The sequence below is a fragment of the Homo sapiens genome, chromosome 3 (genome assembly GCF_000001405.40).
Source record: "Homo sapiens chromosome 3, GRCh38.p14 Primary Assembly".
Taxonomy (NCBI): Eukaryota; Metazoa; Chordata; class Mammalia; order Primates; family Hominidae; genus Homo; species Homo sapiens.
In genome coordinates, this window is record NC_000003.12 from 52,111,698 (window position 1) to 52,130,070 (window position 18,373).

Sequence of the window (18,373 nt, forward strand, 5' to 3'; positions counted from 1 at the left end):
TCATCTGGGGTTCAAATGTTAAGCCATATACACCCAAGCCATCTCTGGCTCAGACAGAGACTCTCACCCATCTGCTTCCCTAAAGTCTAGCAGGCTGTCTGGAGGATGGGAGCTGGCCTAGGCATCCACATGTGCAGGGTGAGAAGTGGGAGACAGGACATCAAGACAGCAAGGGAGACACCAAGGATAACACAGGAGACAGGTGGCCTGGAGAACACAGATTCAAGAATAGGTGACTGGACTAATGGCAGGAGTACTAAGGGGCAGGACAGAAGCTGGGACAGAACAACAGGGCTGGCAGAGGCTCACAGCAGAGCCACAGCAAGTCCCATCTTCCTTACTACTGATGTCCTCAGCTGGTAATAAAACCACACGCCTGCCTGTCTGGTTGTAAACAGAGCCTTGGTAGATGCCTTTGGGTTTAAAGGGCCCACGGGGCAGCACTGGACTTTCTTTCTTGCTTTCCTTCTTTTTGAGACAGGGTCTCACGCTGTCACCCAGGCTGAAGTGCGGTGGTGCAATCATAGTTCACTGCAGCCTTGAACTCCTGGGCTCATGCAATTCTCCCGCCTCAGCCCTGAATAGCTGGGACTACAGGTGCATGCCACCAAGCCTGGCTGGGCTTTCTTTAAACAGTACACTGAGATTAGAACTCAGGTTGGCTGGGCGTGGTGGCTCACACCTGTAATCTCAGCACTTTGGGAGGCCAAGGTGGGTGGATCACCTGAAGTCAGGAGTTCAAGACCAGCTGGCCAACATGGCGAAACCCCATCTCTACTAAAAAAGTACAAAAAATTAGCCAGGTGTGGTGGTGCATGCCTGTAATCCCAGCTATTCGGGAGGCTGAGACATGAGAATTGTTTGAACTCCGGAGGCAGAGGTTGCAGTGAGCCGAGATCGCACCACTGCACTCCAGCCTGGGTGACAGAGCAAGACACTGTCTCAAAAAATACCAAAAACAAGCAAACAAACAAACACACAAAAAAGAACCAAGGTCATACCCTTTTCCTCTTCTGCAAAGCAGCAGACTACAGTGGGCTGCGAGGGACACTGATTTTCTGATTGCCTCTCCCAAGCTGTACCCACGACGAGTCATAGAAACTTCGAAGATAAAGAGACTTTCTTCTTCCCTTAATTCCCCTGCCCAGGATGCCATAGTCACAACAGGCTAGACTGTTTTCCAAAAGACCAGTGGTTCTCCAAGTGAGTCCCTGGATCAGCAGCATCAGCATCACCTAGAAATCTGTTAGAAATGTGAATTCCCTATTAAATCGGATACTCTGGATATGAGGCCCAGCAAGCTGTGTTTTAACAAGCCCTCAGAGTGATTCTGAGGCACACTAAAGTTTGAGAACCACTGCAGGAGGCTTACCATGATAACTGTCAAATGTTAAAAGGCCTGTCTCTTCACCATCACTGCCTGGGAAGCCCAGCTAGCATCTCCTAATGGATTTCTGCAAATGCTGTCCTCATGCTTATCAAAGGCAACTCCTCCCCCATGGGAAACTTAGTAATTATTTAACATGTACCTAGTAATAACGTCAGTGGTAGCCTCTGGAAGAAAAAGGAGCTGGGACCCTGCCCTGGGCCTGGGTGGCCCCACTTCCAGGAGCACTGGCATCTTTGGTGCTCCTGGATCTTGCGAACACCACATTACTCACCAGCCACTGGCCAAAGGTGCTCTGTTTCAAGCAGGAAACATTCTACAAAAACTGTAGTTTGGGGCTGGGCACGGTGGCTCACGCCTGCAATCCCAGCATTTTGGTAGGCCAAGGTGGGTGGATCACCTGAAGTCAGGAGTTCAAGACCAGCCCAGCCAACATGGTGAAACACTGTCTCTACTAAAAATACAAAAGTTCGCCGGTGTGGTGGTGTGCACCTGTAATCCCAGCTACTCAGGTGGCTGAGACAGGAGAATCGCTTGAACTCGGGAGGCAGAGGTTGCAGTGAACTAAGATCGCGCCACTACACTCCAGCCTGGGTGACAGAGAGAGACTCCGTCTCAAAAAACAAAAACAAACAAAAAAACAAAACAAAAACAAAACCTGTAGTTTGGTAACAAATATTGAATCTTCTTTATTTTTAGTATCCACTCTCTTCCCACTGAAACTAAGAAACCCAGAGCACTTTCCACGAATTCTATTGAGATAAAGGTGGAGGAAAATGCAACCCGAGTATGAAAGGGGGCATCTTATCTGGAGGCCTCTGCCACCCAAAGCAAAGGCTGCTGTGGCCTCTCTTCTGCAGGAAGGTCTTTTGCAGAGTGAGCCCATGAAATGAAAAATGCACAAAGGATGCAATGCAGAATGCTGGGGAGAAATCGGGGTGCAGAGAATTGAGACAACCTGCGTGAGGTTACAGGAGACACGCCACCTCAGGCTGGGTCCCAGCCTCTGCTCAGACCAGCATACTAGGGCAGCGCAGCTCTTACTGCCAACTAAGTTCTGGAAGTGGTTCCCAGAGCCAGAAGTTTCTAGTATCCACCTTCCACCTTCCTAGTGGGGCTGCCTGAAAATCCTTTCCAGGAAAGACATGCTTGTAAGCTGCCTTTTCTCATACCAGGAAGGTGCCTAGCCAGATCCCTGGCATCCCCCATGCTGTGCCCAGCCCCAGTACATCCCATGTAAACCGGAGACGCCCCACAGAACTGGAACAACAGGGTCTGCAGGGGGATTACATGAATGAGTACAAGGGAGGTGCACTTGACAGAGCATTGTGGGAATGTAGACACCAGGAGACCCTGAAGCAGCACTGACAGGGGTCCACACATGAGCATGCATGTGCACACACACAGGGGAAGGCACGGTTATCTGTCCCAGGGGTGAGGATGCTGGGCTCCTTTTTCCCACTGAGAAATGAGGAGACTCCCCCTTGCTCTTTTCCAGTCAGGGGTCTCTTATTAGCGTTCCTGCACTTCAATCCCAGAGACAAGGACTTGGCTGGGGCCCAGGCTATTCACCAGCAGGTCACCTCTGGGCTCAAAGTTCCTCCTCTGTGTGGCATAGGGGGCAGGAATGAATTTCCCCCAGGAGCCAGAGATGGGCCACCTGGTAAGTCCTAGGAAACATGAAAAAGAAAGTCCCCACTGTTCCCAAGTCATCCCATAAAGCCTGGCCCCGGTAAAGCCCCACAATAGCCACACGAGGTGGAATGGTGCCCCTTAGAAGAGGGTCTGCTTTGCCATTTCCATCAAGCTCTCATTCACACCGATAAAAAGGACTGTGGGCAATGCCAGCTATTCAGCCAAAGGGTGTGAGCAAAGTGAGAGCCACAACACATTAACAGGCACATCTTGACCCCCAGAGATGCCCTGAGCCCAAGGGCACGGGCAGCTTGAGGCGTCGGGGGTTTGGGCTCCATGAAGCCATGCCTTTTCCAAGTTGGGTAACTTGCCTGGGCATCTTCTGACTTGCCTGCAGCAGGCAGGAAGCCAACAGTTCCCTTTAATAGTATTTTTTTTTTTTAAGAGATGGGGGTCTCACTACTTTACCCAGGCTGGTCTTGAACTCCTGGGCTCAAGCCAGCCTCTTGCCTCAGCCTCCCAAAGTGCTAAGATTACAGGCGTGAGTCACTGCATCCTACCAACCTTAATGGTCTTGAAAAAATTAGGTGCCAGGATTGGGGTCAAGTGGAGAAGGGAGAGGCTCTTCTCTAAGACATATAAATCTGGGGTTCACTCCTGCTCCAAACACCTACAACACCGCTCTTGCTAAGAATCCGTTGAACCCACACTTCTCCCCTCTACAGAAAGTGAATGCCAAACCATAAATCTGTGTTCTCATTAAGCGACCCAAGTCCTCCCAAATGAGAAGCAAATCTGCTGCAAGGTCTGAGGGCTAGTGTCCCCCAAAATTCCTGTGTTGAAATCCTAACCCCAAAGTAATAGTATTAGGAGGTGGGGCCTTTGGGAGGTGATTAGGTCATATGGGTGGAGCCATCAGGTTTGGATTAGTGCCCTTATGAAAGAGACCCCAGAGATCTAGCTAGCCCCTTCCACCACGCGAGGACACAGTGAGAAGGAGCCATCTATGAAGCAGAAAACAAACCCTCACCAGACACTAAACCCGTTGGTGCTTTGCTTGGACTTCCCAGCCTCCAGAACTGTGAGAAATAAAATTTCTATATTTATAATCTACCTAGTCTATGGTATTTTGTTATAGCATCCTGAGCAGACTAACACATAATCTATGAGGCAAGGGATGAGAAAATACTTAACCAGTATAATGTACATTATTTGGGTGATGATTACACTAAAAGCCCAGACTTCACCCCTACACAATATACCAGGTAACAAAACTGCACTTGTACTTCTGAAATGTATACAAATAATTTTAAAAAATCTATGAGGCAGATGAGGTGGAAATGGGTCTCCTCTCCCTGTTTCTCCAACTCTCTAATTCCTCAGGCAAGGCACCTGGAGTGAGAACCCAGATCTTAAAAATCCACAGGCACCCAGGACCCCCAGATCCAAAGCATAAGGGAAGATCTAGTGCCAAGAATCTCTGGGCCAGGAATCAGGGTCCCACAAATCCCTAAGTGAAGCCCACCCCTGTGGCAGTGCCCCAAAAATGGAAATGTGGGAGGTTAAGGACAAGCACAGGAGGTGGCTGGTGCTTTACTCTCAGTATCAGAGGAACTAGGAAGAAGAAATAGACCATCCTTCGGCACGGATGAGGCTCAGTTCAGATGTTCTCAACTGACCCAGCTCCCTCTTCCAGAGGACAGTTCAAGCACTGAGGCTCTGGGGATCCTGGGCATCTTGTCCTGAGGAATCCTGTGGCAGAAGGACAAGTCTGTTTCCACCCACTCACAGATCTGCTCTCTCATCTGGGAGCACAGGGGACTTGGGTCTGCCATCAGGAAACACAATTTTGATGCCTGCAAGGGTCTAGAAACCTCACTGGCCCTCACTACGATGACCTGCAGAGAGGGGTCAACGTGGAAAATTATAAGTGCTCCCATTATTGCCCACTGTCCCTCACCCCAGCAAGTTTTGAACACATAATCTCCTGGATTGGCTTTCAGTCAGGGAGGGGAAAAGAACCCTTTTTAAAGTAGCTAAAGCTTGGTGGGGCAGGCGTGGTAGTTCACACCTATAATCCCAATGCTTTGGGAGGCAGAGGCAGGAGAACTGCTTGAGCCCAGGAATTTGAGACCAGCCTAGACAAGACAGGGAGACCCTTTCTCTACAAAAAATTTAAAAAATTAGGCCAGGTGCGGTGGCTCACACCTGTAATCCTAGCCCTTTGGGAGGCCAACGCAGGTGGATCACCTGAGCTCTCGAGTTCGAGACCAGCCTGGCCAACATGGTGAAATCCCATCTCTACTAAAAATACAAAATTTAGCCAGGCGTGGAGGTGCACGCTTGTATTCCCAGCTACTCGGGAGGCTGAGGCACAAGAATCTCTTGAATCCAGGAGGCAGAGATTATAGTGAGCCAAGATTGTGCCACTGCACTCCAGCCTGGGTGACAGCACAAGACTCTGTCTCAAAAAAAAAAAAAAAATTAGCTGGGTGTGGGGGCACACGCCTATAGTCCCAGCTACTCAGGAGGCTGAGACAGGAGGATCGCTTCAGCCTGGGAGGTTGAAGCTGCAGTGAGCCACAATTGCGCCACTGTAGTTCAGCCTGGGTGACAGAGTGAGACCCTGACTCAAAAAAAATAGCTAAAGCTTGATGAGCACTTGTCATGTGCCAGGCAGATGCACCACGCATGAAATCCCACGAAGGAGGGCCCAGCCTCTCCCCAAACGACAGAAGAGAAAACCGTGCCTCACAGACGTCTGGCCACTTTCCTAGGACCACACCCCAGGCAGGGTAGAGAAAGGATTTAATCACAGGTTGGCTGGAAGCTAGAACCCAGGCTCTTAACCACAGATGAGCTTTCCTCCTTAAAATGAGATCTTGAGAGGTGAGTGGAGAAAAGCACTCAGCCCTAGAACTCAAGGTTAATGTGTGAACCGGACAGCAGCCAACCCTTAGAACTCAGAAAGTGGGTTTTTTTTTCCTCCCGTTTCACTGAATTACCTAGAACTCTGTGTTCTCCTCCCACCCCACCCAGCGCAACCTTTCTTCCCCATTGCATAATGGGCCCTCAGACATTTGGAAGGAGGGCAAAAATAAGTCAATCAAGCAAATGCATTTTTGCTATTTAAAAAGTGGTTAAAAAATGCTTCTGTGGTTGAGCAGAAGTCCGTCCTATAGTGGCAGGGGTTTGGGAGGTGTTAAATTCAAGATCAGCCAAGATACAGGGGTCTTTATGCCTCGGGGTCAGGCCCCAAAGAACAGACAGCAAGAGGGTGGACAAGAATAGAGGGGCCAGGGCTGTGGCAGGAACAGAGCTAAGCACTAGACCCTTGAAAACACGAGCACGGGCACCCAATGCAGACAATTCCCAGGGGCTCCCATCCCTTGCCCACCCTCAAGCCCCTCTGGGAGGTGCTCATTTGCCTGCAAGTGGCTCTTCCAACCTTCCCCCAGCCTTGTAGCATGTCACAAGGCTGAACATGGAGCTTCTGTCCACCCTCAGCCCAGAGCATGGCCTGGAATCCTTCATCTGCAACCTTCTAAGTAGAGAAGGTTCCCCAGCCACAAGCCCTGAAATCCCTCCTCATGCACAACTCAGCCAAGAATAGAGGGAAAATGGAACCCATTATTCTCATTCTGAATGGCTGGGAAATGGCTTTTGCTTTTCAACATGAAATGTGCCTAAAAATAAGCTGTGAATTTCAACCAGAGGTTGAAAATAGCTCTGCAGTGAACAGAGCTCTATTCAGAGTGGGCTCAAGGACAACCTTCATTCCAAGATCTGAGAGCTGAAGTACTGCAGTCAGAGAAAGGGTCATGGGCAGGGGGTTTTCCTGGGCAGAAGGACCATCATAGGCTCACAGGGCTGCCCTTGCCGTGGTCTGCTAGTGGGTAAGTAAAGTAAGGGGTCCATGCAGGGTCTGCCCCTCTGGCTTTCGACTGCTACGCTGGAATGGGGACATGGTGAGGAATTCAACACCTACACCTGCCCGATGGGCTTCCTAGATTCCCCAAATGCCCAGGAGTATTTCACAAGGCTTCAGGGCCTGAGGCCCAGGGTGCAGACAGAGCTGATGTAGGCAGAGGATCATTAGATTCATGAGTTCTTGGGGCATGGCTATGGTGCCCATGAGCTCTTTGAGAAGTCGAGCCACACTGGTCAGCCACCAAACCACTGACCAGATATTCTCCCAGAGCCAGGAAAACCTTTAGTCAGGAAAGGCAAAAACACTCTCCAATTTTTAAGTGAAGAAAACCAAGTAGTTGCTAAAGGCAAAAGGTTTTTTTTTTTTGGTTGTTTACCATCACCTCCAGAAGACTGCGACCAAATGAGATTCCTACAAAATGACTTCTGTTAGAAACCCAGGCTGAGACACCTGGGCCACTATTGCTGCTGCTGGTGGAAGCCCAAATCTGGCCCAGTTGAACAGAGTCCTCACACTCAAGGCTGCTGGAATAGTCCTCGTCCGCATGCCCAGGGCCTCTCCCACCTCATCCCCGTGCTCCTCCCACTGCTAAGACAGCCCCATCTCCAGACACATTCCCACACTCCTCCCACTGCTAGGTCAGCTTCTTTTCTGGGCTCCCCGCTGAGGCAAGACTTATTGCAGTGATTCTAAGCTGGGGACAATTCTGCCCACCAGAGGGACATTTGGCAGCATCAGAAGACTTTTTTTTTTTTTTTCCCAGAGACAGAGTCTCACTCTGTCATCCAAGCTGGAGTGCAGTGGTATGATCATAGTTCACGATAGCCTCCAACTCCTGGGCTCAAGTGATCTTTCCGCCTCAGCCTCCCAAGTGACTAGGACTACAGGGGAGTGCCACCATGCTCAACTAATTTTTAAATTTTTTTGTAGAGACGAGATCTTGCTGTGTTGACCAGGCTGGTCTTGAACTCCTAGGCACAAGCGATCCTCTAGTCTCAGCCTCTCAAAGTGCTGAGATTACAGGTGTGGGCCACCATGCCTGGCCTAGAAGACATTTTTGGTTGTCACAACTTGGGTTGGTGGGAGGGTGAAGATGCTACTGGCATCTAGTGAGTAAAGGCCAAGGATGCTGCTAAATATCCCACAATGCACAAAACAGCCCCCCACAGCAAAGAATGATCTGGCCCAAGATATCAATAGTGCTGAGGGTGAGAAACCCTGGGTTATTGGGAAGGCCAGTACATGGACAGTGCTGGAGGGACAGAGGCTCATCGGACTCACAAGCTCCTGAGACATGGCTGCAGTGCTCCTGGGCTCCCTATGGGGTTGAGTCACTCTGGCCAGCCATAGAACCAGTCCCCAGATACGGTCTCGGTGCCAGGGAAGCCCTTGGGCAAGAAGGGCGAGAGCACACTCATCAGCTTCCCTTCCTATCTCAGAAGAAAACCGAACTACTGAACAGTGTTATAAAAAGTAGCTCTCCTCAGTTTGGAAAGATGAAGATCTTCTGGAAATAGACGGTGATGGTTGCACAACACTGAGAATATATTTAATGCCACCAAATTGCACACTTAAAATGGTTAAAATGGTAAACTTTGTGTTATATATATATATGTATCACAATAAAACAAGGCAAAACAAACTAAAAACCTAGCTCTCCTCTTGGCCTGGGAGTCCTCAGATTAGAGAAGTCCTGAAGGTTGACACCACATGGCATGTGTGTGTCAGTGAAAGTGTGTCTGGAAGAGGACTTACATCCACTCAGGGTCTCAGAGGGGCTTATGACAAATAAGGAAAGAGGTCTGATCTGAACCAAGAATGATTTTAGGATTAACAAGTCACTTGGTGGGGGTCTCAAAGCTCTCATCAGAGCCTGCCTATGGGCGTATTCAGGTACTATGTGGAAATGTTGGTTTGGGAAGACCAGGTGTTTTGCCTGGGGCCACACATCCAGGGTTCAAACCCAGTTCTCTGACCCCAGGACCCACATCCTTTCCCCTATTTGAGGCCCACACAGTGAGGGCCAGTGGGCAGAGCTGTGACTACAACTCCAACGTGAGTCTGTAGATAGTATGGGAACAAGTGGTTGCTCTAAGCACTGCTGAGCTGTTCACCCACTCATGCCCCATCCTGCCATGCTGGGATCCCCCACCCACAGCTCTGGGAAGCAAAGGTGCTCCATACTCCATTGCTGAGCCAGGACCAAAGGAACAAGAAGCAATTCATCCAAGTTATTTTCCTAATAGCTACAAGAACATGGGATTCTCCCCCAGCTGGTAGATATTAACCACTCCCAAGCGGCAGATGTCAGGGCCCTCCCTTGAAATGGGGAAAAGCAGCCAGCAGTCCTCTGCCACCTGTAGTTTCTAGCTTTGCTCAGAGGCATCAGCCTGGTGGGCCCCCAGGTCCAGGCATCTGGGGAAGGTGACTAAGCCCCAGGTGTCTCATCTGTGAATTGAGCAGTATATTTACCCACTCATTCTGATGAGATAAGGAATAAACAGGGTAGCGAGCATAAAAGGCCTTGGCTATGGCTCACCAGAAGTGCCTAATAGAGAGGGATTCACAGGAAAGAGGGCAGGGACCTAGAGGTCTGCTGAGTCCCAGGGGGCCTCAACCCTGCAGTGTGAAATGCCTTTCTGGGTGGAAGATGAACTGGCAGCAAGCAGTGCATCATGCAGCCCAGTCATCCCCCAACAAACCCAAAAGCTGAAAACTGGCCACAGATTAGCAAGTACAGAGGACAGCCAAGAGACCAGCCAGGACAGCAACCCTTGTAAGAAAAACCATAAATCCCAACTGGGCCAATGCCTAGAGGCAGACCAGGACACAAAACGGGGGCATGTGTGTGTGTTGGGGTGGGGAGATGGAGGGTCTATCTGCTGCAGCCACAGAAGCCCCAGGATAGACTCAGGAGGCTTCCTAGTTCTATTCTGGGCCCCAGCCTTGACTCGCTGGAGGCCTTGGGCGAGCCGCTTCCTGTTGTTTGGGCCAGTATCCGTGTGGGGGAGGCCACACTCTCTGTATGGTCCAACGGAGAGACATCTAAAAAGCCTGTGGCCATAGGAGCTTAAAACCCTCAAGGTTCCACAACCTCGGCTTTAACATTTATTTCAGCCCAAGCTGAATATGACCTTATTTAATGAGACTGTATCAGTTATCAATTTTTTTCCCCAAATATTTATCAAAAATATTAACTATTTAAATTCAGGAACACTGAATATTCTTTTACGAACAGAGGTACTAAAAATGGTTTGTGGCTGAGGAACTTCCTCTCCATGGTTAGAAAAAAAAAGGGAGGGAAGTGAAAGCAACAGGGCTGGGCCTTTCCCACTTGTCCCAGCTGTGGCTTCAGGCCCTGAACCCTCTAGGAGCCCCACGTTTGGGTCCTGTGACCCAGGGTTCAGTATGGGACGGGTCCCTTGTCTCCTAAGGCCTCAATCAAACAGCACCATATGCCATGGCAACACGCTCCCACCAAATGGCACAGGCCTGGGGCACCCGGCAGCTTGCTGTAACAGCCTCTTTGTGTCTTATTCGTTCACTCTAGATGGAAAACAAAGCACCACAACTTCCAAAGTATTTGGTAAATGAGAAGATCTTGCTAGGGTCCCTTTCCCGAGACAGGCCTAAACCTCCTCCCTCACCGTCTCCAAGCCCAGAGCTGTTCACCATGACCTAGCCCACCAGAGTCACAGAGCTCAGGACATGCCTGCCAAGCCACTTACCAGATTCCCCATGGAGCTGGCCAGTGTGGCTGGGGGCCTCGGCACTTTCGTGACTTCTCCATGATCAACAATATCAAAGTTACTCTTCCAAACCATCACCTGCCAAAACCAACAGGCACACCAAGTCAGGAGAAGAAAATCCCCTTGCCAGTCCTTCACTGAGGAAATGGGCTCAGAGGCCATGCCCAAAGTTCTGAGCCATGGTGGGATAGTGGTCCCCACCTGACACCCCAACTCAATTCCGGGACCTACCCCACCTCCCTGGGGAGCAGGCTTTGTGGACAGGCCTCAAGAGGACCTGGATGTGACCAGGATGGACTACCACGGCGTGGCACCGCCAGGCCTTCGCACTTGCTGGTTCACCTCCCTAGGGTGTCACAGGCCCGAGCTTCATGGGGTTGGCTGCTTCGCAGGCTGAAGTGTCTGCTTCAACAGCACCACCTTCTCAGAGAGGCCTTCTGTGAATGTTTATCATAGCCCTCTATTTATTTCCTTCATAGCATCAGAGTAGGGAGTTATTTAATCCCCTTTTCATTGTTTATCATCTGCCTCTGAACTAAAATAGAAGTTCCTGCGGGCGGTGGCCTGGCCTGTTACACTGTGAGAAGTGGTTAACACATGGCCTCCAGGCCAGAACACTCCTTACTGAATGGCCTAAGGCAAGGGACTCAACCTTGTGCCTCAGTTCCTGCATCTGCGAGACTGGGATAAGCCTAGTTCCCATCTCATGGGGCTGCTGTGAGGCTCACAGGAGACAGCCTGGTGGACACGGGCACACAGGAAGTACTCAGCAACACACTCGTCATCCCAAGGCTAACTCAGCCATGAAAAACACATCCTATTCCAGGTGTCCTCCTATCAGCAGGACCATGTCCCTCGGTTCCTTGAACACAGCTGAGGGAGGCACCTGGCTGGGGAGCAAGAGCGCTCCCTGCTGGAGGCTGCTGGCCATGCATGACGGTGTGCTTCCAGGGCCACTTCCAGGATGGCTGGCTTGGGTGTCACAAGAGAACTGGGGAGTGTGTGGCCAGTGGTCACCTGAGGCCACAGAAAAACCACCGTATCCACACAAGATGAACACTCCATATGCCCTGGACACCATCCCTGTCTGTCAGGACGCAGCTGTGAGCCTCGTTCTTCAGGAGGCTCCTCACCACTGTCTGAGCAGCTCCACTGTTTCCTCTCCCAGATGGATGGCGTCTAGGGTCGTGCACATATCACCTTAGAAACAGAATGTTAGCACACACACACCCTTGTTTACAGGGTCTTCATGTCACTGCAAATCTAACTGCTGAATAAATTCCTAACAGTAGAGTGGCTATCATGAATGCAAATAGACAATGCCAATGTCACTCTGAAAAAGCTCAGAGTAGATATTAAACAGGAAGCCTGGGAGCTGATGGCAGCGCTGCTGGACCTACTTTCCACCAGGCTGCCTCTCCTACTATGTCATTTGATTCTACCATGACTCTATTTACTGTGTGAAGTTACCAGTTTCCCTGTCTTCTAAGCAATAAGCCAGGCTTCACGCTCAGGGAAGGCTCAGGAGTCACTTTTGCCTTCCTCCTCCCTCGTCTGCTAGAGCAGGACTGGTGCTGGTGTGGGAAGATGCCTGCTGTCTCTAACCCAGGCTGTGGTCAAAGAGCCTCCAACTACCCTCTGCCTTACTGGAAGAGACTCAACCAAAATTGGTAGATTTGGCTGAGACCAGGACTCGTATAGGCCAATAGGACTTTTCTAGGCTGAGCAGCCAGAACTAAGAGACTGGGCAGTAGTGGAATAAACATTCTCGGCCATCCATCAGGTCAACAGTGGCACAGAACAGCCACCCTTTCCTCCTTTCCTCATCAGGGGCTGTGGTTCTCTGGACAAGAGGACCATGCGGACACTGGAGAAAGACTGCTGATGGTTAGACTCTTCAGTGCTCCTGGCCTCCCCAGTGCCAGGGTCTGGACTAGGCCCCAGAAGCAGGGTGCCTGCCAGGAGACAGGTCATTGGTGGTTAGCAGTCAGGGCACAAGGCACCAGGGCTGACAGGCTGAAGCCTCAGAGCAGAGGGTGACAAGGTGGGATAGGACCTCTTCACAATGTCCTCTCTCTGCAGCCAAAAATACTGAAAATGCTGACCCCTCAAACAGTGTCCAAGGGGGCTGGGAGCAAAGAGCAGCAGATGACAGAGCAGAGGCTCCCAGGGCAGGAGAATGACTCTGAAGTGAGACAGGCCCCAGTACCTGCCCCAGCTCTAGCATCTGCTGGGACTTAGTTTCCTCATCTACCGCACGGGGAGATCAGAGGGCCTCATCTCCCACATGGAGATGTCACGAGAATTAAATGAGGTATGAAGCTCTTGTCACATTGGCCATATTCCCAGGCCTAAAGTAAGATCATATTAATAATAATCATTATCTATTTATTTGGAATCAGGAAAATAACTAAAAAACCAACTTTTCACGACAACCATAGCCCAGCCTCCTTCCACTAAGCGCTAGCCTGAGCAGTGAGGATTCTGAGATGCAGCCATGAGGTCGGCACCTGCAGGAGGCCCATTCTGGAGTGGCAAGGCCCCTGGATCTGGGCAACCCCACCCCAAGCGCCATCAGGGCCTTTTTAGTCGCTGAAAGCCACCAAGGAAGCTGGCGAAACCCAGCCCATCCCCCAAACACCCTGTTTGGTTCTGAGCAGAAATCAGCTCAGATTCCCTTCTTCACCATTCCATTCGACTACTCTTTACTTACTTGTTCATCAGAGCCTCCAGAAGCAAAATACTCCCCCGTTCTTGAAAAGGCAACAGTGGTGGCTGGTCCCTGGCAGAACAAACAAAAAATAACACACATCAAAGGTCATTCTCCATTCTAAATGCACAGGAAGAAAACGAGACGTTCTTGAATGAAAGCAGCAGCAGGATAAAGGACCGAGAGCCCACTCAGCCCACAGTCCTCCGTAACCTGTAGCCCAGGAGCCTGCCTGCAGCCAGGTGCAAGCACCACCGCTCAGGCTTCTGTTCCTGAGCACTACAACAGGGACAAGTCCAGGCTATGAGAATGTGGGTGACAGAGATGAGTGAATGGGACAGTCTGCACTGGCAGCCCTCCAGGGCTGGCCTCATTGTCCCCACTTTCCCAGTAAGAAACCACAGGTCAGAGAGATGCACTGAGTCACCCCAGCCACAGCACTGAGACCAGAACTTGGTCCCTTTGACCCAGACCAACCCTAACACCCAACATCTCCCCAACACTGCACAGTTGCTGACCAGAGAAATAGGGATCTCCAAGGAAGAGCCAATGGCTCAAGCAGACAGGGCATAGTTCAAGGCACAGGTGACAGGAAGGAGGTTTCCAAAGGTGCTTGGGCAGCAGAGCAATGTGACACGTCTCTCTAATGTGCATTCACTTTTCTTATGTTCAGGCCATGGGTAGTGATGTGCCCACTCTGGCTTCCCAGATGTTGAAGGTCTGCGTGACCATCTGAAGGGGAATGCCAGGCACACGCCAGGCCGCACTCCAAGGGCTGGAGAGCAGTCCAGGGCGGGGGAGATGGGGGATGCATGATCTCCTAGCAAAGGAGGGTTCTTCCCCACATACCTAAAATCCATCCCAGAAAGGTGCTCAGAGTAAGGATCTGTTTAGCTACGACACCATGACCACAGCCACCACCATCTCTTCCTCCCAGTCGAACTTTTACTGTGGCCAGTACCTGGTATTCCCAAGCAAAATCAGATAAAAGAGGTTCTCTCCTAGAAGACAGCACAGCCACTGTCACCAAGTCCACCTCAGTCCCCCCAGACCAGTGCAGGGAGCGGCAAGAGCCCCAACTGCCCATGAGATGGGCTCTGGCAGCACATCTACAGCTGACTCATCAATGAGAGGAACATTGGGAGGCGCCTTCCACTTAATGCCAGAAAAGACCAGCCAAGTTCTGGGAGGGAAAAGGGACCTCGAGGCCATGGAGGAAGGCAGCTTTTGTCTCCCAGAGAGACAGGCAGGTTGAGAGGTGCCATTCAGCCTCAGACACACTGGACAGCAGGGAGTATGCCCACCCATGCTTCCAGAGTCCACCTTCGGCTCTTCCTCTCAGAGGTGCTCATAACACCTCTGACGAAAAAAGCAAGTACAACACTGGTGAACACCGAGCACTCAGGCGCTCAGAGCACAGCACCTGCATTTACCCACTGAATCCTGAAAGGACAGTCTGTGCGGTGACCCTTTGCCTTAGTCCACTTCTGTTGCTATAATGGAATATCTGAGACTAAGTAATTCATAATGAGCAGAAATGTATTGGCTCACAGTTCCAGAGGCTGGGAAGTCCAAGATCGGGGGCCAGCATCTGGCAAGGGCCTTCTTGCTGAGTCATCCCACGGCAGAAGGGCAAAGAGAGGGTGACAAAGAAAAGCGGGCCAAAGTCATCCTTTTATAAGAAACCCACCCCATGGTAACAAACCCACTCCTGCAAGAATGGCATTAATTCATATATATGGGCATGGCCTCAGGACCCAAACATCTCCCATTATGCCCCACCTCCCAACAACCCACACTGGGGATCAAGTTTCTAATACATGAACTTTGGGGAACACATTCTAATCACACTACCCTTCCTAAGGGTGCCATGTCCAAGTGCAGGGAACAAAGCCTGAGAGGACACAAAGACAAAGCCTCTGGCCTACACTTGCCCTCCTGCCTTCTTCACACAGGTAGAGCTGCAAGGGCCCAGGAATGCCCCACTCCCAGCAGCCCTGGGAATCCTAAGCCACCATTAACCAGGATAATATAGATCCACTTTTACTAACAGAGAAACAATGCCCAATAACATCAGTGAGGGTGAAATCCCAAGTGTAAGACATCACGGGCTGTGTGGCCCCTGCTCATGCAGGGCCTGACTGCAGGATGAGGGCAGGGCATCCATCACTCAGATACCCTTTCAGGTGGACAGTCACCAAGGGGTTAACAGAGGGGTGTGAGGTAATTTCAGGTAACTTTTACTTGATTCTTAGAAATTTTTCATTTTTCCGTTACTTTGAACCTTTTTTTTTTTTTTGAGGCAGAGTCTCGCTCTGTTGCCCGGGCTGGAGTGCAGTGGTGCGATCTTGGCTCACAGCAAGCTCCGCCTCCTGGGTTCACGCCATTCTCCTGCCTCAGCCTCCCGAGTAGCTGGGATTACAGGTGCCCGCCACCACGCCCAGCTAAATTTTTTTTGTATTTTTAGTAGAGATGGGGTTTCACTGTGTTAGCCAGGATGGTCTCGATCTCCTGACCCCATGATCTGCCCGTCTCGGCCTCCCAAAGTGCTGGGATTATAGATGTGGGCCACTGCACCCAGTCACAAACCTTTTTTTTTTTTTTGAGACAAAGTCTGGCTCTATCGCCCAGGCTGGAGAGCAATGGTACAGTCTTGGCTCACTGCAACCTCTGCCTCCTGGGTTCAAGCGATTCCTGTGCCTCAGCCTCCCAAGTAGCTGAGGTTGCAGGCACCCTCCACCACACCCGGCTAATTTTTATATTTTTAGTAGAGACGGGGTTTCGCCATGTTGGCCAGGCTGGTCTTGAACTCCTGGCCTCAAGTGATCCACCCTCCTCAGCCTCCTAAAATGCTAAGATTACAGGCATGAGCCACCGCACCTGGCCTACTTTGAATTTTTTAATAATGAATATATGGCATTGCTACACTAATACGAACACCAAACAACAAAACTACTTTCATTGTGAGGAAAAACAAAGAGGAAACAGAGAAAAGAGAAGGAAACCAGTACATGGAATGTCAAAAAAGATGGGCCTTTTGCCTGCCCAGAGCTCACTGAGTGATGGCAGGTTTCCAAGAAGTCACAGCAACTAAGGGAAAAATACTTGCAGGTCACTCTCCTTTCATGTCATGACTCAACCACCAGAGGCCAAGTTGGGAAAAGGTGGTGGAGTCAGAGCAGCAGCAACAGCAGCAGAACCAACAAAACACTCAGCTCAGCAGGGGTCAGGACCAGAGCGCAGGCACTGGGAGCCCTGCAGATAAGAAGTGCTAGCGCTCCTTTACGAGACCAAACCCCAGGAAGTTCCAGGGATGAAGCGAGTGATAAGCTGTGTGGATCTGCAGTCCTCCCTAACAGTGCCTGTTTACCAAGAGGACCACGCAGCCCCTGCTCCAGGTACCTTCCACGAAGGCTCCTGTTCTTCTGCCTAGCAGCCCAGGGCACTCAGAGGACAGCACAGAGAACACCTGGGCTCTGCTGTGGGCCAAAGCCAACATGTACTGTAGAAGAGACTGTCCACTGCTGACATGCTTCAGGGCCTAGCCTTGGAGGCCCCAGATTACTTCGGCCCCTGCTAACTTTCCAGGCTCTCTCCTCCCTGCCCTAGTGCTCCTCAAACACCATGATCTAGACAGAAAAGGTCCTCTCTTTCTCTATATTCTTTCTGCTGTCACCTGCATTGAGTTCTTAATTCAGGTATTTTCAATTTTTTTGGTTTTATATAAATCAATTTAAGGCTACAAATTTGCCTCTGATGACACCTTCAATAGATCCTGGAAGTTTCCAGTATGCAACATTTTCAGTCATTCACTTCCAAATGTTTAGTTTCCACTGTGATTTCCCCTTCAGCCCATTGGTTGTTTGAGAGTGCATTCTAGAATTTCCAGGCTGGGCATGGTGGCTCACACCTGTAATCCCAGTACTTTGGAAGGCTGAGGCGGGAGGATCATTTGAGGTCAGGAGTTCGAGACCAATCTGGTCAACATGGCGAAACCCCATCTCTACTAAAACTACAAAATTAGCCAGGGGCGGTGGCACACACCTGTAATCCCAGCTACTCGAGAGGCTGAGGCAGGAGAATCGCTTAAACCCAGGAGGTGGAGGTTGCAGTGAGCCGAGATCATGTCATTGCACTCCACCCTGGGCGACAGAGCGAGACTCTGTCTCAAAAATAAATAAAATAAAATAAAGTTTCCAAACCATAGGTGCTTGAAGAGTCTCTTCTTACCATTGCCAGCAGCCAGATATGATACATGTTTTTGGAGACTGTTCTACCCTCATGATGGCTTATTCCTTTTATTTAATCAATCACTCTTCATGCATCAGGGTATCCACTTGGGGCAGGGATATTGCCAAGTCCATCCTCTCCAAAGGCAAGACCTGTCTCTGGGTGTCTCTGCACACCCCTGAGGATTCCTCTGAGCAGCGGCTCCTGGCTGGGCCTTCAGCAGTGTGGATGCCGGCCTGCCCCCAGCTACCAGAGGTACCCACCTGTGGGAAGCCCTGGTCTCCCTCTGACTCCAGGCCAGGTCCATTAGCAGGGATGCCTCACAGGCTCAATAAGGGCCTCCCTCCCTCCCTTGAAAGACCAGGCAGAATCTTCAGGGAGATGGTCCTGCTTAACCAGTCATGAACCCAGACACAGCCTGGCCTCCCTGCTACTCTACCTGCTAACCGGGCCATATCTGGCCCTGGAGCTTGGCTGGATCCACACCCAGTCATTTTACCACACATCATCTTCTGTTGCCAATTTCCAGACCTAAAAAGGACCCACATTGCCTGGTTTCTTCAAACAACAAAGTATCAACAGAGAAAGATTTTTTTTTAAGGCAAAACAAGGGAGCCCATGGTGATTAGATTTCACAGTCGTGCTGGCTCTCGCTCTGCTGCTCCGGCAGCTCACACTGACCTCGCTGCTCTCCTCATCCTCCTCACCTTCTCCCGCCTGACTCTCAGAGG

The 18,373-nt window shown here is 50.6% G+C and overlaps 1 protein-coding gene across 13 annotated transcripts in view, besides 1 other annotated feature; it reads right to left on the bottom strand.

The window, feature by feature from the left end:
• POC1A (POC1 centriolar protein A) overlaps positions 1-18,373 on the bottom strand; it is a 79,198-nt gene that overhangs the window by 36,472 nt on the left and 24,353 nt on the right. For 5 of the 13 annotated variants that reach the window (XM_011533561.2, XM_011533560.2, XM_047447908.1 and 2 more), the window contains one exon: positions 13,416-13,484. In XM_011533561.2, the coding sequence (XP_011531863.1) occupies positions 13,416-13,484 (69 nt within the window). Of the gene's footprint in view, positions 1-1,001; positions 1,244-10,681; positions 11,903-13,415; positions 13,485-18,373 lie in introns of those variants that run through there. The other 8 variants (NM_001161580.2, NM_015426.5, XM_017006104.2 and 5 more) reach the window with 5 other exon arrangements.
• Positions 9,756-10,050: an enhancer, noted in NCBI's record as "tiled region #14635; HepG2 Activating non-DNase unmatched - State 15:Elon, and K562 Activating non-DNase unmatched - State 16:ElonW". NCBI's record gives its function as "activates a minimal TATA promoter and a strong SV40 promoter by Sharpr-MPRA in HepG2 and K562 cells {active_cell/tissue: HepG2 | K562}" and the evidence as "EXISTENCE:reporter gene assay evidence [ECO:0000049][PMID:27701403]".